Consider the following 25,942-nt stretch of genomic DNA (forward strand, 5'->3'; position numbering starts at 1 on the left):
GAGGAGGAAGCCTGTGGATGTCACGGCCCCTCTGTCTCAAGTGCCTCTTGGGTGTCTCTCATGCGTGTCACCATCCACTCAGCATGTCTTCACAGAACTCCTGAGAGCAGGGCCTGACCTCCTGCCACCTCCCAGACAGGCTCTCCAGCGCCCTGGGCCCTGGCTCCGGCCCACGAGATGTGCTGAAGCAGCCAGCACAGCAGTGAGCCACTGCTCTGGTGACCCCATGATGGCCCGCTGTGCAGATGAGGCAGCAGCAGCTCCATTGAGCAAGCCAGCGCCAGCTCCTGTCCCGCCACAAATACACACATTCTCAGGAACAACCTAGTTTTTCTCATCTGTAAATGAGGAGCTGAGAAAAAACACCTCTTCCAGCACTTAAATACTATGATCAGAAACTGTCACTACCTTAAACCATCTCCCAAGTACTGTTCACCATGAGTAGCACCTTTGTGTTCCATTTGCTGGTAGCTCTCTTTGCAGATCTGTGTCAGATGTTGTGCACAGCTGTGCATGGCTGTAGGTGGTCGTTCATGTCTAAACGGTTGTAAATGTCTGCATTTGGCTGTGCCTGGCTTCTGGCAATTGTGAATGTGCATGATTGTGCATGTCTGTGAAAGGCTGTGCACAGCTGTTCATGGCTGGGAGTGGTTGTACATGATTGTGCTTGGTTGTGTATTACTGTGAATGATTGTGAATGTGCATGGGTGTGCATGTCTGTGCATGGCTGGGAATGATTGTACATAGTTGTGCATGGTTGTGCATGGTTCCACATGGCTGTGCCTTCCATGTGCATGACGGTGAATGTTGTAAATGTGCATAGTTGCACATGACTGTGCCTGGTTGTGCATGGCTTTGCATGGTTTTGTATGACTGTGAACGGTTGCGAACGTGCATGGTTGTGCATGGCTATGCACAGCTGGGAGTGGTTGCACATGATTGTGCATGGTTGTGCATGACTGTGAATAGCTGTGAATATGCATGGTTGCACATGGCTGTGCATGGCTGTAAGGTTGTGAAAGTGCACAATTGCGCATGTCTGCACATGGATGGGAATGGTTATGAATATCTGTGAATGGTTGTGCATGGTTGGTTATGCAGCTTTGAAGGACTGTGTATGGCTGTGAGTGGTTGTACATGGTTGTGCATGGTTGTATGTGGTTGTGAACTGTCTTAACAGTTCTCATGTGAGCAGGGTTTATGAGTTTCTACAAACACTGTATTTCCTCACATCCTCCATAATATGTGCCACATCTTCATCATAAACCTTATACTCTCTGTCTCTCTCTCTTTTCTCACTCACTCTTTCTCTCTCCCTCTTCTTTCTGCCCCTCCACAAAAGACAGAAAGCATGTGTACCTTGGTCTGTAACTTAATGAAAGCTCAGTCTCAGAGGCTGTAGGTGTCTGCCAGGTTGCAGAGATGTTGTGGGATCCAGTTCAATTGAAACAAAACAAGAACTTTTGCTAAAAGCTCTGCTAGAGATGCTTTCTGTATTAGATACATGTTGTCAACAACTCAGAGGAAATAAACACGTTTGGTTATAACTAACATGCACTGAGCACTCCGGGGAGCAGGTGCCATGCTAAGCCCTTTACTCAGGTTCTCTCATCTAATCCCAAGAACGCGGTCGGGGGGTATTGTTGTGATTCTATAGATGGGTTTGCATAGCCAGTAAGCAGTCCGGCAGGAATTTGAGAAAAAGGCACCTGGCTGCAAAGCTGCCAGTTGAACCACTGTGTCGTGGCCCTCTTAGTTTACACCCTCACGTCCATGAAGCATTTGAATTTCTCAAGATTCAAGGCATTTTTCAAATATGTTTTAATAGTGCAAAAAAATCCAGTGAATGTTGAGAAATATTTTGGGAATGGGAGCAATGTTTGTGAAGCTCCTGCCAAGCTGGCTGAGACTTAGGGCCTCTTAGTCTTGCTCAAGAAGGGAGTATTTGGGACACTCACAGTGCAAGGGTGGGGCCTTTCCAGCACCTGGGGGGTGAGGACCAGGGGCGTCAGGACCCCAGACTACAGGGAAGACCTCACCACGACAAACTTCCACTCAGAACAATCCTGTAGGTGAAAAGCCTGTTTCTATCTACCAAGGCCAACTCTGTTTTCTTCTGTAAACACAATAATATTTGTTGTATGGTTTTAGTATATACTGAATTCTCCAGTAATGCAACTACTTTGAAAATCAAGAGAAGTCAGTACTTTATTTTGTCAGAACATTATCGAGTGTTGTTTATCATTGAGGAAAATCATGCCACAGACAGGAAAATCCTGTCTTTACTGGCGTCTATGATGCATAGAGAGAATTGCTGGTGTATTGGTCTGCATTTGTAACCATTGCATTCATGAAAATCCTCTCTATTAGGATGCGTAAATCCAAATATCTTTAGATAGCTTTTATTTCAAAATACTGAACATAAAGTCTTCGTAACAGGCAGCCGAATGTTGCTTCACTTCTCTGAAACCCGACTGGCTCATGTGAAGGAAAGGCATGTGTTTGTCTACTTCATTATGTTTGTTCACACCGTCATGCCCAGGTGTTTACATATCGAAATACAGGCCGTTGTAAATTAACGTCCTTTGATGACAGTTTATTTTAATTAATTTCCTATCTATAATATTATTTCTCAGGAGTGTGGATTACTCATACTAGCTGTGACTTTCATTCCAAGTAAAGGAAAGTGACAACGTGTTTGTCATGAAAGCGGGTGCCATTGGTTTTCGATGGGGTTGGAAACCACAGCTCTGGGGGACACTGCCCTGCTTTGCCGCACGTTCAGATGATAGCGAATGGCTATGTGTTCAATGAGGCAGCTCTCTGTGCACGCAGTGGAAAACACACGTGTGTTCTGGGATAAATAAATAAATAATCCCTTTGATAAAGCAGGAAGTCTCTCTACAGCTTTCTCACTCTGCCACTGAAAAGCTGCTAGCTTAATAAAGCCATCAAAGTTTTCGCATTCTGACGCCACAAAGGCAGTGAATAGCGACAACTTTGACTTTTAATCGAAGCTGCAGCATTTGAAGAACAAGGAGCTCTTGAAGGCCTGGAAGCCCAGCACCCCCGGCCGCTCTCGTCCTTGGGGCTATGCGCCCGCCAGACGCTCATGATCACAGCACGAGGACGACTTGCTTTTTGAAAGGAGACCTCAATCTTGTTGCTTAACCCCCAAAACATTCATTATTTTCAGCCAAAGGATAACAAAAGTTATTTCAGAAATTTTTTTCAGCCTCATCTCTGGAGCACACTTCACCTCCTAACTTCCATTGACTTCGTCCCTCCCAGACACTCAGGAGGAGCTGGAGGACCTGGCCCAGCGATCGGAGCCTCACGGGGAAACAAGGTAGACTGCTGAGTCTCAGGAGATAAACATCTTAAAACGCTTTCAGATGTCAAATCAGTGGGCAGCAGGATTAAGAATGAGGGGGACAGGAAAGAATGGCAAGGGTAGCAAGGAAACAAGGCCTTCAGTGACAGGTGGATGGGACGGCGAGCTTAGAAAACATCAGCAGCTGCTAGAAATCTTCCTGGAGGTGATGATTCCCAGGCCCACTGGAAGCAGCACGAGGGTGCATTGTGAGCTGGGAGCAACTGAGGATCCAGGACCCACCGAGGATCCGGGACCCTGGGACCTCCCTGGACGTGCACCCAGGAGCTGAGCCACCCAGAAAACACCCAGCCGGGACACCCAGGGAAGGCCGGACTCAGCAAAGGAGCCCCCCACCCCATCCAGGTGGGGTCCTGGAAAGTGGGGCCCCAAGGCCTGGAGGTCAGGGAATTGCGTCGGGGGAGATGGTGGCAAATGGAGACTGCGCCCTGGCCCAAGAGCCCCAGAGACTGTGCCAGGTCTGCAGCCTCAGAGGGGCTTTGGGGAAGCAGCTTTCACTCTCTGGGCTGCCAAAAAGGCGTCCGGTGATGTGACCGTGACCTCTGAGCCACTGGACCCACCACTGGCCCTCTGTGGCCACCGCAGGCCCCACCTGCCAACAGGGCCCCCGCCCATGGCTACCCAGGGACAATCCTCTTGTGTCACCTTTAGGGGCTCTCCAAGCTCAGCTTCCTCCGACCCGGCCTCCCTCCCTGGGGCCAGCGCAGAATTGTGGAGGGGCAGAGGGTGCTGAGTGCCCGCACCCCTGTCTCACCCCCGTCTCCCCGAGGGGATTGCAGGCTCCTCACTAGCCGGGAGGGTTCAGATCCATCAGACGGGCCTGGCACGGGGTGAAGCTGTGAGGGCAGAAGCCAGAGTCCAGGGGCACAAGGTGACCCAACACCCAGCACTCGACGCAGAGCACCACTCACCTGATCCTCCCTGCTTCCGGGGACCATGCTTTACAGACAAGGAAATGGAGGCTCTGGAGCTTAGGTGGCATCTGAGGGCACAGGGACGCCGGGACCACCCCCTGCTCCCCAAGGCACGGCGCTCTCCTGCCTCTCATGCGCAGGTAGACCCTGTGCGTGTGATTGTCCCAGCACCGTGGTGCAGGAGCTCAAGCCCGGAGCAAGGCCTCAGGGGAGGGAAGGGAGACAGAAGGGGGAGGGCCACCTGTCTGGCCATGGGGGTCACATGGGGTGGTGCCGTCAGAAGCCGCAGGTGTTTTTATTCAAATCAAATCAATGTTATATTTAAATTAACTTTAATCAGGTGTGTCATTCAAGGCTAAGCCGGCGATGGGGGAAGGGGGCGTCTGTGGAAAGGTCCAGGTGGAAGTGAGAAAGGGAAGCGGGCACCAGGCCCGTGGCCCCGGTTGGAACACCAGGTGTGAGCGGAGCCCACTGGGGGCTCTGCCTGCTGGAGACGGCCACTCACCCCTTTGGCCTCCATCTCAGTCCATTTGGGCTGCTGTCAAAATACTATAAACTGGATGGCTTGGAACAAAAGTGTATTTCTCACAGTTTTGGAGGCTGCAAGTCTGACATAAAGGCACCGGCGGATTTGGCATCTGGAGAGGGCTTCCTGGTTTGTGGACGGGGCCTTCTCACTGGTTCCTCACATGGTGGAACGGGTGAGGGAGCTCTCTGGGCCTCTTTTGCAAGGGCACAAATCACACTCGTGGGGACCCACCTTCATCACCATCTGAACTGATCCCCTCCCAAAGGCCCCACCTCCCGCCACCATCACCGTGGGGCTGAGCATTTCGATATACGAGTTTCCTGGGGGACATGAACTAAGAGCATGGTGGCCCCCACCACGCCCGCTGCGTCCCCCTGGGGGTCTCCTCCTCCCGTCCTCATCTTGGTCTATGCCCCTTGCCCTCCTGGAACCCCTGCTGCCTCCTCTCCCTTTCTCTACTCTGCACATGCAGGCAGAGAAGAGCTGGCAGTGTGGAGATGGGGCGGGCACCCACAGAGGGGCACAGGAGCCCACCCCAAGCTGGGCACAGCAACGCTGTGGTCCTGCAGAGCAGGCAGCCCTGGGATGGTTCATGAGGGCCTAGCACACAGGGCACCTTAGAGCCTCCCCTAATGTGAAGTCCTTCCGTGAAGCTCACAGAGCAGGGAAATACATCTGAAAACAAAACCAAACTTGGATGAGACATCACCTCCAAGGTGAAACAAATTTGGAAAACTTTCCAGTGAAAGTACCTTGAAGAGACTTTAGGTTTGTATTAATTTAGATATTGCATGATTATGCTGCTATCTCACCCCCAGGAGGGAGCAGTGGGGCCCCCTCCTGCTCCAGCAACGGCCTTTCTCCATCGCCATCTCATTTCCGAGCCAGGCAACGGACGACCAGGGGCAGAGCGTCCCTGCTATGGGGGCCAGATCAGGGTTCACCTCCACTCCTAAACTGAGGAAAGGACACCTTTTTTAAGGTCAAAATTAATTTTTAAATTGCATCAAATTATCTCAAATAAAAGCATGTAGGGACATGCACATGGCCCCCTGGCTGTTTCTCAGCGCGTGTTAGAGAAGGAGGGCGTTTTCAGCCCAGCCACTGGGACGCCTGTTTCCCGCGGTCTCCAGAACAGTGCCTCCATGTGCTGCGTGGAGAGAGACTCAGAGTGTTTTACCTGCTCACACCCCAAACGCCAGGCTCCTTGTGCTGAAACGATGGCTCTGGTCTATGCCCTGCTAAGCGCTTGGCACGACTACGATCTCGGAATAAAATTAGTCTTTGATTCTTCATCCCAGTGGAAATTGCAGGGCTCCAGCCTCTCCACTTTCTTAATGGTTTCTTCACTACAAAGACTCAATTGAATGACCCTGTCAGCCATCTCCAAGGTTTGGAATTAAATGTACCTAAGTGTAAATCAATAGAAAGGGAATCAAAAACTAAAAGGCTGGATTATTTTTGCAGATCTCTTTGTGCAAAACAAGTTTGCATTGAACCCGGGACCACCTGCGACCCCAGAGCAGCTCCGCCTTCCAGCTTCAGGTACATGAATATAATGGAGGAGCTTTGATGAGCAAAGATTAATCACAAGATCTATCAAAATGGAATTATGATTTTGACCCACTCACCTCCAAGAGCTGCTGGATAGCAAAATTAGAAAATCCGGAACTATAAGTGTTCCATTTTAAACTGCAAGAGATACTGCGCTGGCAAGCATCTCCTCAGCCCCTCCTCATTCCAGACTCAGGTGACCCCAGTCCTTCATGCAGATTTGGAATGCGTTGCATTCTCAAACAGTGGGATATGCAAGAAAGATCCACAGGCGTATATAGAACCCAGTGCAAGGCAGCTCTCGGCGCTGCCAGCACCTCCCCACTCCCTCTAAGCACAGTACCTCCAAAAACTCTGGAGCTTCCTCTGGTCTCATACCTCTGGCAGCGACCCACCTGCCACCTTTGCCAGTCTGTGCATGTGCGAAACCTCAGACTTGCCAACCCACTACCTTGGCTACAAAACCTGTTTTTAATTTCCTCTTAGACACCAGTGCCTGGTAAATTATTAGCACGTCGTTTCTTCCAGGAGTGTTTCATGTTGCAATGGTAGCCCCCGTAACACAACATGTTAAGCAAAGGAAGAACATTCTGACAGTAAAAATGCAGCCACCTGAGCTAATCAGAAGGCTTCTTTGTGCCTCAGGTTGTAAGGAGCTGCACCTTCCCAACCTCTGGTTGGTTCTATGGACCACTGCCAAATTTCCAGTGGTCAGCAGGAGCCCATACAAGATGGCAGAACTAATATTCTATTCCAAACATTCACAAATCAAAGTGCCAAAGCTGTAGGGTTTTATTCATTCTGCATTGCTGTAGGAAATACGAGTTTTGCCTTCAGCTTCAGTAAAGCTGAAGCCTGGGTGAGTGGGCGCTGGATGCTTAATTTCGGGGTCAGCAAGTGAGAAAAAGTTTTCACTCATCCATCACAAAATTTAAGAGTAGTCAGAGTGAAGCTTTTTTGCTAAGTTGACCTTATCTGTAAAACATGTGAATGACAGAGATCTTTGAACATTAAAAAAACAACAACAAAAACAAACAAACAAAAAAACTGACACGTTCTACATCTTATCTGGGACCTCGGAGTTCTGGAATGCACCTGTCTAAATGAAGGCTAGAAAAGAGCTTGGGAGATGTGGGGGAGTGAAAGAAAGTAAATGGAGAATTTGGGGTCAAAAAGAAAAAAGTGTGTGTGTGTGTGTGTCTTGTGGCTGTGTCGTGGTTTTATGTATGTAAGTGTGTGTATGTGTATATGTATGTGGTGTGTGTATATTTTCTGTTTGTGGTGTGTGTATGTGTATATGGGATGTGTATGCATGTTGTATGTGTGTGGTGAGTGTGTATGCATGTGTATGTGTATGTGTGATTATGTATGTATGTGTAGGATGTGCTTGTGTGCGTGTTGTGTATAGTGAGTGTACATGTATATGTATGTGCGATGTATATATGTATGGGTGTAGAATGCGCACGTGTGTATTGTGTGTGTGGTGAGTGTGGATCCTTGTGTGTAATGTGTGTATGTGGAATGTGCATGTGTGTTGTGGGGGAGTGTACATGCATGCACATGTGTGATGTGTGTATGTGTGGGTATGTGTGTATATGTGTGTAGACTGTGCATGTGGGTGTTGTGTGAGTGTACATGCATCCATATGTGTTGTGTGTGTGTGTAGAATGTGCATGTGTGTTGGAGTATACACATATGTGTATGTGTGATGTGTGATGTATGTATGTATAGTGTGTATGTAGGGGAGGATGTTTATGTGTTGTGTGTGTAGTGTGTATATGCATGTGTATGTGTAATGTATGTGTGGGTGTATATGTGTGTATGTGTGTAGGATGTGCATGTGTGTTGAGGGAGTATATATGCATGTGTATGTGTAGTGTATGTGTGGGTGTATATGTGTGTATGTGTGTAGGATGTGCATGTGTGTTGGGGGAGTATATATGCATGTGTATGTGTGATGTGTGATGTGTGTGTGTGTATGTAGTGTGTATGTAGGGGAGGACGTTTATGTGTTGTGTGTGGTGTGTATATGCATGTGTATGTGTACATGGGATGTGTATATGCATATGTGTTGTGGTGTGTATGTGTGTATGGTCTGTGTGTGTCTATAACAAATAACCAAATGACTGGATCTCTATGTTTTGAAACAGAACCCCTTAATTCTGTTTGGAAAACGATGTTCTTGCTGTGGACATCGGGATTTCTGTTCCCCAGGAAGAGTGATGGGTCTGCCACAACCTGATATTTCTCCAAGAATAATTTCAGGTTAAAAAACATCCATAGTAAGGTGAAGGTCTCAGCAAATGTGAAATAACATCTCACTGCCAGTTCCCACGTCCCAGGCAAAAATTCCTTTAAGTTAATTATACATTATCTGAACCAGTGTGTACATGTTCAGTCTCTTCATATCTGTACACATCTTCTAGCACTTTTGTTCTGATTTCTAAAGAACCTTGACTAATTCACTTTAGCAAGAAGCTAATCCCGCACTGTAGGGCTAAGTATAAAACAAGTGACATTCTCAAATGGGTGACAGAAACGTGCAGGCGAGGGATCATTAAGTGTTCATTAGCCACGTGCCGTCACGTTAACCATGGGGTGTCGCACCAGTTTTCTCTTCTTTGTCATGAGCCAGCACTATCCCCCTTTCATGGAGCAAACCACCAGGGCGAATGGTGCCCACACCTCCCGCTTCCACTCTGCTTGTCACACAGTGGTCCCTGAGCTGCATTTCCATGACCACAGTCTTAGAAGTCCACTCAGAAGAGGCTGTTACCCAGGCCTGTTGGTAACAGTGGTGAGTAACTGAAATGGTCAAGTACCAGAAAAAATATATTTTTTCAGACTATTCAATATATACAACTGTTAGAGCCATGTGTGAATATAGTCATTTTCTTTCAACTCATGATTTTAGAATCTTAAAGATGGCCACGTAACCCAGACATTTAGGATTCCCAGGTTTGTTTTTATTTTATTTTCATTTTTTAATAATTTCCATTTTATTTTAGATTTGGGGGTACATGTGCAAGATTGTCACATGGGCATGTTGTGTGATGCTCACAGACTGAGGATAGTACCAACAGTTACTTTTGCAGCCCTTGCCCCACTTTCTCCCTCCCACTTCTAGTCCTCCCCTGTGTCTATTGTCGCCATCTTTATGTCTATGAGTACCCAAAGTTTAGCTCCCACTCATAAGTGAGAACACATGGCATTTGGTTTTCTGTTCCTGCATTAATTTGCTTAGGGTGATGACTCGTAGCTGCATCCATGTTGTTGCAAAGACGTGATTTTGTTTTTTTATGGCTGCATAGTATTCCATTATGTAAATGTACCACATTTTCTTTATCCAGTCCACCATTGATGGGCATCTAGGTTGATTTCATGTCTTTGCTATGGTGAATAATGCTACGATGAACACACACATACATGTGTCTCTTTGGTAGAATGATTGTTTTCCTTTGGGTACATACCCAGTAATGGGATTGCTGGGTCAAATGGTAGTTCTGTTCTAAGTTAAGAAATCTCCAAACTGCCTTCCACAGTGGCTGAACACTTTACATTTCCACCAACAGTGCATGAGCATTCCCTTTCCTCTGCATCCTCACCAACATGTGGGGTTTTTTTGTTTGTTTGTTTTTGTTGTTGCTGATTTTTACTTTAATAATGGCCACTCTCAGGTCCACCTACACTAAAAATGGCCCCAAAATAAATCGGTTGAAGAAATTAGATCCCAAAGATTCTTGATTTTTTCCTAGGTGAATTTTGAAGTCTTCATCAGTCTATCCATATTAAAAGGAGATGACAGAAGCCAAAATAAAAGAATTATAGGCTGACAGGACCACTGGATTAAAATAAGCATCAGTTTCATTAAAAAGGGCTAACTTGAAAATAAATCTTTTGAAGACAAATTGTTACTCCAGCTCTCTAAATAAAGTGACCTTGATGGACAGAGGAAGAAATCACACCATGGAATTCCTTGAGTAAATTTATTGACTTTAAAAATAATAATAATAATAATGGCCATTCTGACTGGTGTGCAAAGGCATCTCATTGTGGTTTTGACTTGCATTTCTCTGATGATCAGTGATGTTGAGCATTTTTTCACATGTTTGTGGGCCATTGGCATGTCTTCTTTTGAGAAATGTCTATTCATGTCTTTGGCCCACTTTTTTAATGGAGTTATTTGGTTTTTGCTTGTTTAATTCATTAAGTTTCTTATAGATTCTGGATATTAGACCTCTGTTGGATGCATAGTTTGCAAATATTTTCTCCTATTCTGTAGGCTGTCTATTTACTCTGTTGATAATTTCTCTTTCTATGAAGAAGCTCTTCGGTTTAATTAGGTCTCACTTCTCAATTTTTGTTTCTGTTGCAATTGCTTTTGAGGACCTAGTCATAAATTATTTACCAAGGCCAATGTCCAGAATGGCGTTTCCTAGGTTTTTTTCTAGGATTCTTATGGTTTGTCGTCTTATATTTAAGTCTTTAATCTGTCTTGCATTGACTTTTGTATATAGTGAAAGGTAGGGGTCCAGTTGCACTCTTCTGCATATAGATAGCCAGCTATCCTAGGACCATTTATTGAGTGGGGTGTCCTTTCCCTGTTGCTTATTTTTGTCAACTTTGTTGAAGATCAGGTGGCTCTAGGTGTGCAGCTTTATTTCTGGGTTATCTGTTCATTCTTTTGGTCCATACGTCTGTTTTTGTACCAGTACCATGCTGTTTTGGTTACTGTAGCTTTATAGCATAGTTTGAAATCAGGTAATGTGATGTTTCCAGCTTTGTTCTTTTTGCTTAGGATTGCTTTGGATGTTTGGGCTCTTTTTTTGTTCCACGTGAATTCTAGAATAGTTTTTTTTTTCTAATTCTGTGAAAAATGACATTGCTAGTTTGATAGGAATGGTGTTGAATCTGCACATTGCTTTGGGCATCGTGCCATTTTAATGATGCTGATTCTTCCAAGCCATAAGCATATTTGTTTGTGTTATCTATGATTTCCTTCAGCAGCGTTTTGTAGTTATCTTTGTAGAGATCCTTCACCTCCTTGGTCAGATGTATTCCTCGGTATTTTATTTCTTGTGGCTATTGTGAATGGGATTATGTTCTTGATTTGCTCTCAGTTCAAATGTTATTGGAAATGCTACTGAATTTTGTATATTGACTTTGTATCCTGAAACTTTTTACTGAGGTCATGTATGAGTTCTGGAGCCTTTTGACAGAGTCTTTGGGGTTTTCCAGGTATCAAATCGCATTAGTGAGAACAGATAATTTGACTTCCCCCTTTCCCTGCTAGGATGCCTTTTATTTCTCTCTCTTGCCTGATTTCTCTGGTCAGGACTTCCGGGATTCCCAGTTTTAATTCTTAGTCACTCTTAGTTCCAACAGTTGGAGCACCGACAACTGTGAATTTATGACTGTACTCCACAAAGAATGTCTAGGCATTTAACCATGCTGTCTGCATTCAGTAGCTATCGGGAATAACAGCTGTTAGACTTGAGCAAACGTATTGATGGGAACATGGCTAGGAAACATCTTTAAAGTTTCTTTAACCCTGTTTCCCTGTTTGTCCTGCCAGCTAATGATATTCTTTGAAAGAAAAACTGAATTTAAACTCTGCTAACAGAGGCCTAACTCCATAGCAATGTGTTTTACAAATAGTAGGTCTTGATAAACATTTCTAGCACAGTTTTACATCGAACTCATGATCAACACTTTTCTCCTAGTTTTCCAATTAATAATTCTATGTAATCAAGTATTTTTTTCTTTCACTGTGATGTGACTCCATCCTCATACAATGTATTTTGTATTTGATTTTGCCAAAATTATTTCTTAAAGCAACATTGGATTCTTTATTTGAATTCAAGAAACTAATACAAAACGGAGCCTGAATATATGGAATTGGTCTCAGAGAACACACTTGCCCAGATTTTCCAGGCCAGTCTTGGCCATCCTGGGAAACTCTGCCATTTTGTGCTACTGGTTTCATAGCCAATCGTGGCCAATATACTGGATTGTATCACATGTAGAAATCTACAATTAATCTGATTCCATGTAATCTGATCCTCTCAGCAGACATACTCCATAAGAAGACAAGAAAAAGGAAGGAAAGGAAAGGGAAGGGAAGGGAAGGGAAAGGAAGGGAAGGGAAGGGAAGATGGATAGATGGATAGATGGATGGATGGTTGGATGGATGGATGGATGGTATAGAAAGCTTTTAGGAGATTTTCTTTCTCAGGTAAATATTTTGCTTTCCCAGAGGAGACAGCATTCCCCCTTGGCATTTCACTTTTGTCTCCAACACTTAGAATTTCTAGTAGCGGGACCTCTGGACTGCAGGGCTATTATAGACCACTGAGGTCAAGGTTGATGCATCCAGGAAGGTGCCCTGCATTTTCTTGCTAGTCTTCAAAGACTCCTCCTGTGGACACTTCCTGGGCAGGAAGTGTCATTGGCCACGATCCTGCTGTGACCCTCCATTCTGCATCCAGGTTCTTTCTGCCTTTTAAAGCATCGGCATAATGTCTCTACAATTAATCTGTAAAGCAGCAGAACTTTGTGATTCTGACACAGTTAATCGTTCCCAGTATCTCTATTTAAAGCTTTCTAAAGACAAAAGTAAAGAAGACAATTATACAGATTGCAGAGACCAGAGTAAGATAAGCTTGGAGAGAAAGAGAAACTCAGAGAGCCAACAACAATATAACATAAACAGCTCAGCAAATAATAGTGCAATTTCCCAGCTAATAGAATGGTTTAACACCTGAATACATTCACATGCCTGATTAAGCACTAACAACATACATCCATAAAGGAAGATTATAAGTTGTAATATGCCTTTGCAAGAAGCAGCATATTAACCACTATTTGTATACTTCTCCAATTACATTCCTTTAATTCTTTCATTTAGAAAACAGTTTACATTATAATAGCCAGCATCACTTCTGTTTTTAAAACAATTGGTTATGTGTATATTGCCAAATTATGGGTCTACGGGATATTTTCATAAGAGAAAACAATTGCCAACATGCCTGGAAAAGGATCTTTAACTCCCCTGGAAAAGGGGAGTCTGGTGACATACGGATGCATGGCCATTCCTTCTCACTATGCCAACGCTTCCCAGTGGGTTGAACAGCCCATTTTTTCTTCTCAAGTTTTCTGTGAGCAGAGATTTGTCTTGCAGACATGAAACCCGGACAGTGTGGGCCTGTCCAGCTCCCTTCTTGCTCCCTGTGTGCTCCATCCAGGAGCCCAGCCCTCCCAGGTCACTGCACCCACCGGGGTCTGCATGCTGGTTTGTCGCCAGCTATTCTGTGGCAAAGGCCTCCAACACACCTTCCCTACCCAAATCCCAGCACCCTGCTGGTCCCACCCAGCTCAGTATCTGGCCTGCACAGGGTCTCCCCTGGGACCCAAACATGGCAGAAACCAAGATGCAATCAGCAACAGCAACAGAGCCTTGGAGACAAAAGCCAAACCAGCGAAAAGCACCACCGTTCGGACCAGAGCAAGCCAGGCACTGCCTCCTTGTGATAAGCAACAGGAAACTCCAGGTGGAGGCAGGAGGAGCCTGGGCGGTGTTGGGGCTCAGAAGGCCACACCCCAAAGCCTGGCTGGGACCAGCTGAGAGGCCCAAGGAGCTGTCTCCGAATTAGGGCCCCCTGGCCTGGACGCCAGCCCCGCCAGGTGCTGAGAGGGGCTCTCTCTGGAATTCCTTGTCTGCCTACCAAAGCAGCTTCAATGCAGTTGTCTTACATCTCCCACCCTGGGAATCTCATCAATGGCCACGAAAGCTCAACCATCTGGGAAGGGAGGGAACAGGGGTTCCCCACACCTGGACTTCTCATCTGTTCTTCCAAGAGCAACTTCAAGGGAGGTTTTGGGGGACTTGATCTGCATAGTGAGGCGACCTTTATTCTCGTGCAGCTCCATCCCCCACCTTCCTGCCTCCACCTCCCGGGGCCATTCACTTTTCCCTGATGATTTATTGTCCCTCAGAAGAACTTCCCACCCTCGCCAACCCCCCACTCCCCTGTGGAAAAGGACACATCAGCCTCTGCACTGTGCAACACATTTGGGAAATCACTGCAATTTCCCCCAGGCCCAGTCATGAACTGCACGTGCCTTTTCTCTGATCAATCTGCCTTTTATCAGTTGATTTTGGACCAAACCTTCAGAGGGTGGGTAAAGGGGAAGTGAGCACACAGAGAGGCAGGCACAGCCAAGGAGCCACCCTGGGCAGGTGCAGCCTAAGCTTTGGCTCTAAGTGGAGAAGCTGAGCCTGAGAAGTGAGGTCTGGCAGGGCAGGTTGAGTCGGCATGGACCTAGGGAGGGTCCTGCCCCATGGCCACACACCAGCAATGCTGCTACCAGGGAAGTCACAGAGGAGGGGCTGGGCCCAAAGAGGGTTGAAGGGTTGTGCTTTGAAAGCCAAGTTCGAGGTCAGGGACGGTTGGCACTGAGGGATCCCAGGGCTTCACAGACCTGCTCAAAGGAACACAATTTTTCCCAATGTCCTAGGAAAGTATGACAGCAGAGGGAGGGGCTTGGTCCCAGTCTAATGGTGTAGAAAGAATGCCAAGACAATAAACAAGCAAGCCACCCTTCTATGCATTAACTTACTGCTATCAACTGGATTCTGTGCCCCCAAACACGTGTGTTGGCGCTGTAACCCACAATGAGATGGTATTTGGAGCTGGTACTTTAGAAGCTAATTAGGTTTAGATGAGGTCAGGAGGGTGGGGTCCCCATGATGGGATTCCTGTCTCCATAAGAACAGGAACAGGTCAGGGTCCTCTCTCTGCCATGTGAGGACACAGCAAGGGGGCTGCTGTCTGCACATCAGAGAGAGAGCCCTCACCAGGAAATGAATCTCCCAGCACCTTGATCTTGGACTTCCAGCCTCCAGAACTATAGGAAATCAATGTCTATTGATTAAGACACACAGTCTGTGGTATTTTGTCCCACAGCCTGTGATGACCAAGACACTCACTTAACACCATAAAGGGGTGTGGTAAGAACACAGCACGAAGGACCCAGCTCCACCCTCACTGCTCCCACACCTGTGTCCTCCCACTTGGGGCTGGTGCCCAGCTCCACCCCTTAGCCCTGGCTGAGCCCCATGCACTGTGGTTTGTAAGCAAACAACACACCATCAAAAGCTGGGAAGTACTTACACCCAAGTCCTGATGGCCCCTGCTCCTTTTCCACCACGGTCATGAGAACATGCCCAAGCCAGCCTGAGGGGAGAGGCACACGGTCTGCATCTCCACAATACCAGCTGAGAGCCAATTGCCGTGAGTGAATGAGAATAGCTGAGTGAGCCCAGCCCAGACCTGAAGAACTGCCCAGCTCAGCCTAGCCAATGCTGCTGGCCACAGACTGAGTTTTGGGGTGGTTTGCCATGCAGCATTATGGTGAAAACAAATGGCTTAGGCCTGTAGGAGCTATCAGCTCAGAGGCTCAGAGGGGTATTTGATTTGTCTGAGGTCATCAGCTAGTAAGCCACTGACCAGGAATTAAATCGAGCTGGTATGACCATGCTGAGCACTTAGCCTAGTGCACACTGCCTCCCAGAGCCTAACCCACCATGGACACATGTCCTGCAAGCATGCACTCATAGAGATGCATGGATTGGACTAGAGGAAAATAGGAGTTGCATCTGCTTCCCTGCTATTCCCACTGAGGACAAGAGAAAGCCCCGGATGCTGTCCACAAGACAAATAGAAGAAGTCTTAGAGAGGTGGAGGGAAGAAGGCAGATCAATTGGGGACCTTGGATTGAGGAATTGCCCAGGAGGGAGTTCCCTGGGTTTTCCTTTTGCCTCATGTCTCCCAAGTGGGTGCTGGAGAAGCTGGCAGCACAGAGATGGCCATGGATTCAGACCAAAAAAGACTCTGGAAAAGCCTACCCTCTGCAGCCACAAGACCAAGGAAGTAGCAGCCCTGCAGGACACAGTAACTTCTCTCCTCCAGCCAAACACTACGGAGCTGTGGCCCTGTCCCCACCCCTCCAGCAGAAGTCAAGTGGGGAGCCTGGACTTCTGCCCTCAGCACACTGTCATGAGATGCCCCAAACCCCTCTTTGGGTGGCATGGGAACAGGCTGATGGAGGGGGGCTTGGACTTCCACCCCCACCTGGTGGTAACAAGGCCATTCTCCTCCCCACCAGGATGGTGACAAGGGAGGCAGCAGGAAGTGGGAACTCTCATCACCCCCCCCAGCAGTCATGAGGCCACCACCCCTGTAGTATCACCTGGGGCCATGTGGAACCAGTAACAAGGCACTCCTGCTCCACCTGCTGCCAGCCGTGCAGAGGAGCCCCACCGTGCCAGTATCAATGAGGGCAGAGAGGGAAGCTGGACTTCCACTCCCAGCGTGACAGTGACACGATGGCACCTGCCCTCACCCAGGGTCAGAGAAACCTGCTAAATGGCAAGATGCAGGTAAAATGCAGAGTCTTACAATATGACACACAAACTGCCCAGGTTTCCATCAAAAATCACTTGTCATATCAAGAACTAGGAAAATCTCAAATGGAACAAGAAAAGACAACTAACAGAGACCAACACCAAAATAACACAGACATGAGAATTATCTGACAAGGGTGTTAAAGCAGTGATCATAAAAATGCTTCAACAAACATTTACAAACACTCTTGAAACAAATGAAGAAATAGAAAGTCTCAACAAATTAAAGGTTTCAGCAAACAGTAGAAAATTTAAAAAAAAGAACCAAATGGATATTTTAAATCTAAAAATACAATATCTGAAATTCTAAAAATCACTAGATGGGATCAATAGCAGCATAAAAAGACAGAAAATAATCAGCAATAATATAAATTTCTCAATGTAATCCACTATATTAGCACACTAAAGAAAAAAGAATTACATGATCATATGTATTCATGCAGGAAAAAAATGACAATTCTTTCCAAAATGACACACAGGTTTAACACAATTTTCATCAAATTCCAGCTTTTCTTTTGCAGATATAGACAAGATTATCCTAATATGTAACATGGAAAGCCAAAGGAAGAGGAGTAAACAGTTTTGAAAAATAATACTAAAGTGGAAGCAATTGCCCTTCCCATTTCCCAGACTTTCATGTTGCTTCAGCAGTCAGGACAATGTGGCACTGGAGAGGCATAAACACGCAGATTAACCAAATAGCAGAGAGAGCCCAGAAATAGCCCCACACACGCATGGCCAGCTGGTTTTTAACAAAAAGCCGAAAGCAAGTCAATGGAAGAAGAACAGAGCACCAATTTAAATGTAAGTCTTATCACGGAAACATCCAGAATAATTTTTTTTTTGAGACAGTTTAGTTCTTGTCACCCAGGCTGGAGTCCAATGGCTCATCTTGGCTCACTGCAACCTCCACCTCCCAGGTTCAAGCGATTCTCGTGCCTCAGCCTCCAGAGTAGCTGGGATTACAGGTGCGTGCCACCACACCCAGTAAATTTTTGTATTTTTAGTAGAGATGAGGTTTCACCATGTTGGCCAGGCTGATCTCGAACTCCTGACCTCGGGTGATCCACCCGTCTCAGCCTCCCAAAGTGCTGGGATTACAGGTGTGAGCCACTGCACCCAGTCCAGAATAATTTTTGACCAAATGTCTGGGTACCATGGCCCAGCCAAGCTGACATAAATTTAATCATCGCAGAGCCCAATGGAAGCACAAGGTCTTTATAAATCAAGAGAAAGGCAGAAGACAGAACTGGAGATGGGGAGACTTTGCTGCTGGAGAAATGTGGGCAGCCCCGGATGGTGGAGGAGACAAGGAGACAGATTTCCCGGAGCCCCCAGAGGAAATGCAGCCACACAGCACCTGGCTTCAGCCTCGAGGCCCAATTTGGACTTCTGGCTTTCAGAACTGGTAAGATAATAAATCAGTGTTGTTCTAAGGCACTAAATTTGCAGGAATTTGTTAGAGAAGCAATAAGAAACTAGTTCAGGTGTGAACAGACATGTTCCCAAGAGGGTGCACAGGTGGCAAGCACGCAAGAAGACGTGAGCATCACCAGCTGTTGGGGAAATGCAAATTAAGGTCACAAGAGATTGCCACTACACTCCTATCAAACAGCTACAATGCAAATACAGCCAATAGCACATACGGGCAAGGACAGCGAGAAGCTGGATTTCGCATATGTTGCTGGTGGCCATGGAAAATGAAACAGGGACTCTGGAAATAGTTGGGCACTTTCCTGAAAAACTGAACCTACACATGCCACATGACCCAGCAATTGCACTGCTAGGCATGCACGCCAGGGGAGCGAAAACTTACGTCCACACAAAACCCATACACAGTTGTCTATATTAGCTTTATTTGAAACAGCCTCAAACTAGAAAGGACCAAAGAGTTCTTCAATACAAGAACAGATAAGCAAAGTGTGGTGCAGCTATGCCATGGAGTGCCTGCTGCTCAGCCATGAAAAGGAACTGTTGACGCAGCCAGTGACTTGGATCAATGTCGAGGGCATTATGCAGAATAAAAGAAAAGCCCATCTCGGAGAAATCACCCTTCTAGATAATATTCTCACACGACAAAATTACATACAAGGAAAACAGATGAGTGCTGGCTATGGGAGGACGTAGAGGGCAGTGTGATGGAGAGCTCATGGATGTGGAACAGTCCTGTGTCTCAAATGCAGCTGTGGTTACACAAATCTACACATGATAAAATGACAGAACCACACACATGCATTTCACCAATAGAGGCAGTCCCTGATGTATGTTCAGCTTACAACTGTTTGACTTTATGACGAAACAAAAGCCATCCACATTCAGTAAGAAACTGCACTGTGAGTTTTGACCCTTTCCTCGGCTAGTGATACGTGCTGTGATACTCCCTTGCCCTGCAGGGCAGCAAGGTGCAGCCCCCAGTCAGCCGGGGAATCACGAAAGTCAACAGCCCACTCTGTGTGTTGCTAGAGATTTTTGGATACTCTGTTTTGTGTTTTCACATCCCATCATGTCTACAAAATGCCCACCTGTGTAAAGTATTCAACACTTTAGTATAAAATAGGCTTGATGTTAGATAGTTCACCCAACCGTGGGCTAATATAAGTGTTCCGAGTAAGTCAGGCTAGCAATCTCTGGTTAATCTGGTAGGTTAATCACCTAAACTACCAACTGTGATTTGGTGTATTAAATGCATTTTTGACTTGTGATATTTTCAACTTATGATGGGTTTTTCAGGAGGTAACCTCATCATAAGTTGAGGGATGTCTGTAATGTTATTTTGGTCTGTCTTTTGCTTGATATTTCTTTATATGTATATATCAAGGAATTTCAAGAAATGTATATATATATTTAAATATATACTTATTTATTTAAATATATGTAATTATTTAACCATATGTACTTATTACTTATTTTATATGTACTTATTAAATATATATTTAAATATATACTTATATATAAATAAATAATATATAAATATATATTTTTTTAGTGTGCAGCAAAAAACAGAAGGAACTGTGATGCATTAATCTATTTTGCCCATTTACACTTACCTGGTTTTGCTACTGTACTAAGTTATGTAGAATGTAAACATGGAGTAAACTGAGCAAAGAGCATGCAGGACCTTCTTGTACATTTCTTTGCAACTTCCTGTGACTCTGTCATCATTTCATAATTAAAAGGCTCTTAAAAGAGTATGAACAATTAACCAGGTGTGGTGGTGCCTGCCTGTGGTTCCAGCTACTCAGCAGGCTGAGGCAGGAGGATCTCTTTAATCCATCAAGGCTGCAGTGAGCTGTGATCGCACCACTGCACTCTAGCCTGGGTGATGGAGCGAGACCCTGTCTAAGAATAAAACAAAAAGCACATGAATAAAGTTATCCAAATCCTACAAAACTGTAACTCGAAACTTGGGTCCTTTCTGAAAGAATAAAGGTTTAAAAAACTAGACTTGATAACATGAGCATTGCAATCTGGAACCACTTTGGGCCATAAAGGACTGATTCTGTTGAAGTTTGACTCCAGGGTTGCACAGATTGACATACCGCCCCACCCCACCCCACCACCAAACAAGGAAACGGAGTGTAGCCCTCAGACCGTGGCATGGACCTTGGTTCACTATATTTAACAAAATCCCAGCAGAGGAAAGACAGGCCCAGCTATTCCTGCAGAGATTGTCCCGCTCCGCACACATACTTGTTCCTTCTTCCACCACTCATCCCAGCACCACCAAACTCAGCCCTCAAACTCTTGCTTAGAGCAGGGTGTACAGGAGAATGAGGAGGAAAGAAACTGGGCCTTAAAAAGTTGGAGGACAGACAAGTAGTTGCTCACCACTTTTCAGAGCAACTAGAACTTATGGGAGAACTTTCCAAACACAAGCGAAAGGAGAAGAAATACATGGCAATTCTGCAAACATACTAAAACAGATCTCTATAAAATAAAAGAACACCAAGCAAAAGACACACCAAAATAACAACACAAAAAAAAACAACTCTAAAGGCAGAAAGCTATGGAATAACCGGCAAACTATAGAAAAGCTCAAAGGTGAGATTTTACACACACAAAATAGAATTGGATGAAAATGAAGCTATTGAAACACATTGAGGACCTAAAATGTTATAAACAGCAATGATATAATGACAGAAACAGTAAGAAACAAAATAAATACCTCTAGAAATTATTACCACAGATAAAAACACAGTGAATACAGATTTTTTTGACGACAAGAGGGTTACAGCAATTAAGGAAAAGCTAATGGTTAAGGAAGACAGATGGAGAAGGTCCAGCGTAAGGAAACAGGTGCCTGGGGGTAGAGAACCAGAGAGATGGATTGATGACATATTCAAAGACATGAGATTAAAAAGTGCCTGAAGTGAATAAAGATTGGGTCTGCAGATCAAAAGGACATATCTTCTTCCTGGGAAGTTTAACAGAGAACAGAAATGCCAAGGCAAATCCTAATTCTGCTGCTTAATTTCAAGATAAAGAAAGAATAACTCGGGTCTTCACACAGCCAGAGCAGATCATCTGCAAGAGGGGGTCCATGTCAGGTGGTCCACAGAGCGCTCCACACAGCACTCAGGATCTGCAACGGGGAAACTGTAACAACTCTTAGGGAAGGAGGGCTGGCCCGTGAATCTTGTTCCCCCACAAGTCACTGTTAGATTCTAAAGCCAACAACCTAAGTTCTCAGGTCTGAAGATGTCCTGGGATAGAACATCTCTGAGCTCTTCTTAGGGGAAATAAGAAGTTCATGGCCAATTAACATTGAATCAAAAGAAAGGAAGTGAGAGGAAGGGAGAGTGAAGCCGTCCTCGTATTTCAGATCAGGAAGTCGGCTGTTCCTGTGGAAAAGTGAAACTTGCACGTTTAAAAAAAAAATGCATTGACTCCAAATACCTAAGTTTTTCCCCAGAGTCTCCCCTCCTCTCCTGTGAGCAATGACTGAGAGAGAGGAAATACTGGACGTTCATCAATTCCTTCAGTTGTTCTTCAGGTTTTTTTCCCTCCATTAAATCTGAGTAAATTTGAAGAATTACTTTTGTTGCAGGAGTGAGGTGGTGTGTTCCCACCTTTATTACCTTATGTTATTACCCCACAGGTGTTTGCGTCCACAGAAGAGCTCCTCACACCATGTCTATCTCTCCACGCGCCCACCAGCCTGTGCACGTAAACATAGATGAAGAGGTGTCTGCCACGATGTTAACCTGATATTCATGGTGGTCGTGGCTGCGGGACAACTGGGGTCATTTTTTAATTTTCACGTTTTTGTCGTTTCATTGCTTAAGTTCTCTATAGTGAGTATGTATTATTAGCGTATTTATAAAAACAAAACCATGATTTTTCAAAAATTAAAAACATCAAAGGCAAATATTCTAAGATGCTAACAGTGTTAATTTTGTACAATGGAACTAAGTATGTTTGCATTTTTCTTGTTTTGTTTTGTTTTGTTTTTGTGAGATGGGGTCTCACTCTGTTGCCCGGGCTAGAGTGCAGTGGCATAATCACAGCTCACTACAGTCTCTGTCTCCCCAAGGTCAGGTGATCCTCCTACCTCGGCCTTCTAAGTAGCTGAGACTACAGGTGCATGCCACCACACCCAGCTAATTTTCGTATTTTTAGTAGATACAGGGTTTCACCTTATTGGTCAGGCTGGTCTCGAACTCCTGACCTCAGGTGATCCACCCGCCTCGGCCTCCTAAAGTGCTGGGATTACAGGTGTGAGCCACCGCACCCAGTTTTTTTTTTTTTTTTTTTTTTTGAGATGGAGTCTCGATCTGCTACCCAGTCTAGAATGCAGTGACACAATCACGGCTCACTACAGCCTCTGCCTCCCCAAGGTCAGGTGATGCTCCTACCTTAGCCTTCCAAGTAGATGGGACTGCAGACATTTACCACCATGCCTGGCTAATTTTTGTATTCTTTGTAGAGATGACGTTTTGCTCTGTTGCCCAGGCTGGTTTCAAACTCCTAGGCTCAAGCGATCCACCCACCTCAGCCTCACAAAGTGCTGGGATAACAGGTGTGAGCCACTGGACCTAGCCTTGCATTTTTCTTTTAATTTTTAAAATTTTTACATTTCCAAAAATTAAAAAAATAAGGAAAGCCTGTTTATTTTAAAAGAGCCATAAAGAGTTCTTTCCTCTTTCCCCTGGAAGATGCAGGAAACAAATCTCTATTGGTATATGACAGAAACAATCTCTCAACTGAAATGCAACCATGGAGAAAAAACTTCTAGGAGTCATATGCTGCTGCTATGACAGTTATGCAAATGAATTAAAGTCCCCATTCAAAGAAACTGGTATAAATAGATTAATTTGTTAAATTCCCTTCTGGTTTTAATGTTGCATGCAAATACAAATGCAAAGGGAATTATGTGTAAAATTGTTGCTAAAAGACAGCAAAGAATAAGAAAAATAAATTTGCCATCAACCTCCCAAGGGTTGGTGAGAGATTCTTCAAACTAGAATCTCATAAAGCAACTGATTAAAAACACATACCAGACACTCTAACCTCTTCTTTCCAATTAGCTAAGCAAATCTATGAAACGCGGGGGGCAGAGCTCTGTGAACTAAGCCAGTCTGACTACCATATATATTTTTTAGACAGAGTCTTGCTCTGTCACCCAGGCTGGAGTGCAGTGGCGCGATCTCCGCTCACTGCAAGCTCCGCCTCCCAGGTTCATGCCATTCTCCTGCCTCAGCCTCCCGAGTAGCTGGGACTACAGGTGCCCACCCAGTTAATTTTTTTGTATTTTTAGTAGAGACGGGGTTTCACCGTGTTAGCCAGGATGGTCTTGATCTCCTGACCTCGTGATCCGCCCACCTCGGCCTCCCAAAGTGCTGGGATTACAGGCGTGAGCTACCGCGCCCGGCCTCTGACTACCATATTTTAGTGCTCAAATCTGTTCCTCCACTCCTGCATCTGGGATTAGTTTGACTCATTTGGCCGATGAGACATTAGCAAATGTGGTGCAAGAAAAGGCTTGTTTGCATCGAGGCTTACTCTCCTTTCTGCTGTGACCAAGCCCAGGCTGCCTGCTAGAGGCCGAGAGACCACATGGAGGGAAGCCTCAGCCATCCCAAGCCCCAGCATCCTAGCTAAGGCCTCAGACATGTCCATGAGGCCACACTAGGCCAGCAGCCCCCAGAGCCAACCCACAAAGTTGTAAGCAATCACACATGGGCTGTATCAAGTCACCGAGCTTCGGGCAGCCTTGAGAATGACTCCTTCCTCGACCAAATCAGCGAGGCTCCTCTGACCCCTCTTCTCAACGAGGCCTCGCCCCCAGCCCTGATCAAATTCCTCATCCTCCGCCTTGAGGTGGAAGTCCCTGGCCTGCCTTAGCCAGACATCCCTCCTTGGTGCAGTGGGTGTCGTTCGACAGGCAGCAGTGCAGGGTTCTGCTGTCATGGGAGCTCTGGCTGCTGTCCGTTTGTACATTCAGCCTCTTAGGCCCATGCTGCTGGCCCCAAAATGACATTCTGAGTAGCAAGAGCCTGGGTTATAGAAGCAAGCATCTCACTTGGACCATTCATTAACTCAGAGTGGGACTTGGAACCCACTGGGTTTCTGTAAATGTCAACCATGCTTAGTGTGCCTTTATGGACACGCTGAAAATCTGAAATATACTCCCCACACCTTGAGGTAGATTGGCTACCACTGCATCTATCAAAAGGAAAACCTGAGCAAAAATGTGCTGTGGGTTCCCATACAAGCAATAAAAATTAAAGAGCCAGAGACCCATGGTGGGTCAGCCATCCTTGGGGTCCTGACCAGACCTCGGGGGCATTGTTAGTCTTGTGCGTCCAGGGCCCCAGTGATATGGTTTGGCTCTGTGTCCTCACCCAAGCATCATCTTGAATTATAATCCTCATAATCCCACGTGTTGAGGGAGGGACTTGGTGGGAGGCGATCTGATCATGGGAGTGGATTCCTGCATGCTGTTCTCATGATAAGTGAGTTCTCACTAGAGCTGATGGTTTTATAAGTGTTTAACAGCTCCTCCTTCATGTACTCTCTCTCCTGCCGCCTTGTGAAGAAGGTGCCTGCTTCCCCTTCCGTCATGATTGTAAGTTTCCTGAGGCCTCCCCAGCCATGCAGAACTGTGAGTCAATTAAATCTCTTTTCTTTATAAATTACCCAGTCTCAGGGAAGTTCTATATAGCAGTGTGGGAACAGACAAACACACCAGCCCTCTCCACCATGGAGCTGGGATCTGAGGGCTGTTCACCTGGGACCCCACCACCGGCCGAGTCTAGACCAGCTGCCCCACTCTGAGCCCTGGATGTAGGAGTCAGTCCAGGGGTGAGATAGGATCCAGGGGAGCCAACCAGAGTGACTCCTTTGGGGTTTTGTCACTGCACGGATGGAGAAAGCTCTAGAAAGTCTAGGAGATAGAGCTGGGAGGATGATAACATGGAAATGCAGCCATGTTCTCCTCTCGTGATTAAAGTCTCACTGCCAGGGAAAGATTGGGGCTGATGCTGAGAAAGAAGGTGTGGGGGAAAGGAGGCTGAAACCTGGGTCATCTGTCTCCTGTTCTTCATGATCCTGGAACTTTGAGGGTGGGGGAGGGTGGGAGGGGACATGGGGCCACGGGCCTCTGTTCTTCAAGGCTCTGTTCTTCAAGGGACCTTTAAGAGGTGATTAGACCCTCTGGATCTGTCGGTTCTGGCACTTGCTCTGTAATTCAACCACCTCTCCAGCATCCTTCAAATACGCCTCTTTCCATGGGAGCAGATTTTGTTGGCTTTTGGCCACTGGCCCTTAAGTCCTGATTAGTATCTACCCCTTGAGTCCTCAGGGTGCTCAGGACAGAGGAAGTCACCAGAACAGGCAATAAGAAAGAGTGGAGAGGATCTCTGTTACCTTAAGACCCCAGTGAGCCTCCTCCCTGCTTCCCAGTCACAGACTCTGGACAGAAACCCTGCCCCCCGCCCCTGGCAAGATGCCAGCTCCCTTCCTGGTCCTGATGTCACAGGTCCCTGGACATGACCTCCCCACCAGGGCAGGACCCCAGCTCCCTTCCTGGTTGTGATGTCACAGGTCCTGACATTCCACAGTGTCCTGGAGACCAAGGATGGGAA

At 46.0% G+C, this 25,942-nt stretch overlaps 1 long non-coding RNA gene across 1 annotated transcript, besides 1 other annotated feature; it reads right to left on the bottom strand.

Moving 5' to 3' along the window:
• Nucleotides 114–614: an enhancer, noted in NCBI's record as "H3K4me1 hESC enhancer chr13:113004827-113005327 (GRCh37/hg19 assembly coordinates)". NCBI's record gives its function as "activates a minimal SCP1, AML or CMV promoter by ChIP-STARR-seq in primed H9 embryonic stem cells {active_cell/tissue: H9 hESC(primed)}" and the evidence as "EXISTENCE:reporter gene assay evidence [ECO:0000049][PMID:30033119]".
• LOC105370373 (uncharacterized) lies at nucleotides 11,214–25,879 on the bottom strand. The gene is made up of 3 exons (XR_944295.3): nucleotides 25,725–25,879; nucleotides 21,935–22,014; nucleotides 11,214–12,994 (listed from the first exon to the last, which is right to left on the bottom strand). It is a non-coding gene; the product is annotated as an uncharacterized LOC105370373 (long non-coding RNA).
• Nucleotides 25,880–25,942: the final 63 nt, after the last annotated feature.

The sequence above is a fragment of the Homo sapiens genome, chromosome 13 (assembly GCF_000001405.40).
Source record: "Homo sapiens chromosome 13, GRCh38.p14 Primary Assembly".
Taxonomy (NCBI): Eukaryota; Metazoa; Chordata; class Mammalia; order Primates; family Hominidae; genus Homo; species Homo sapiens.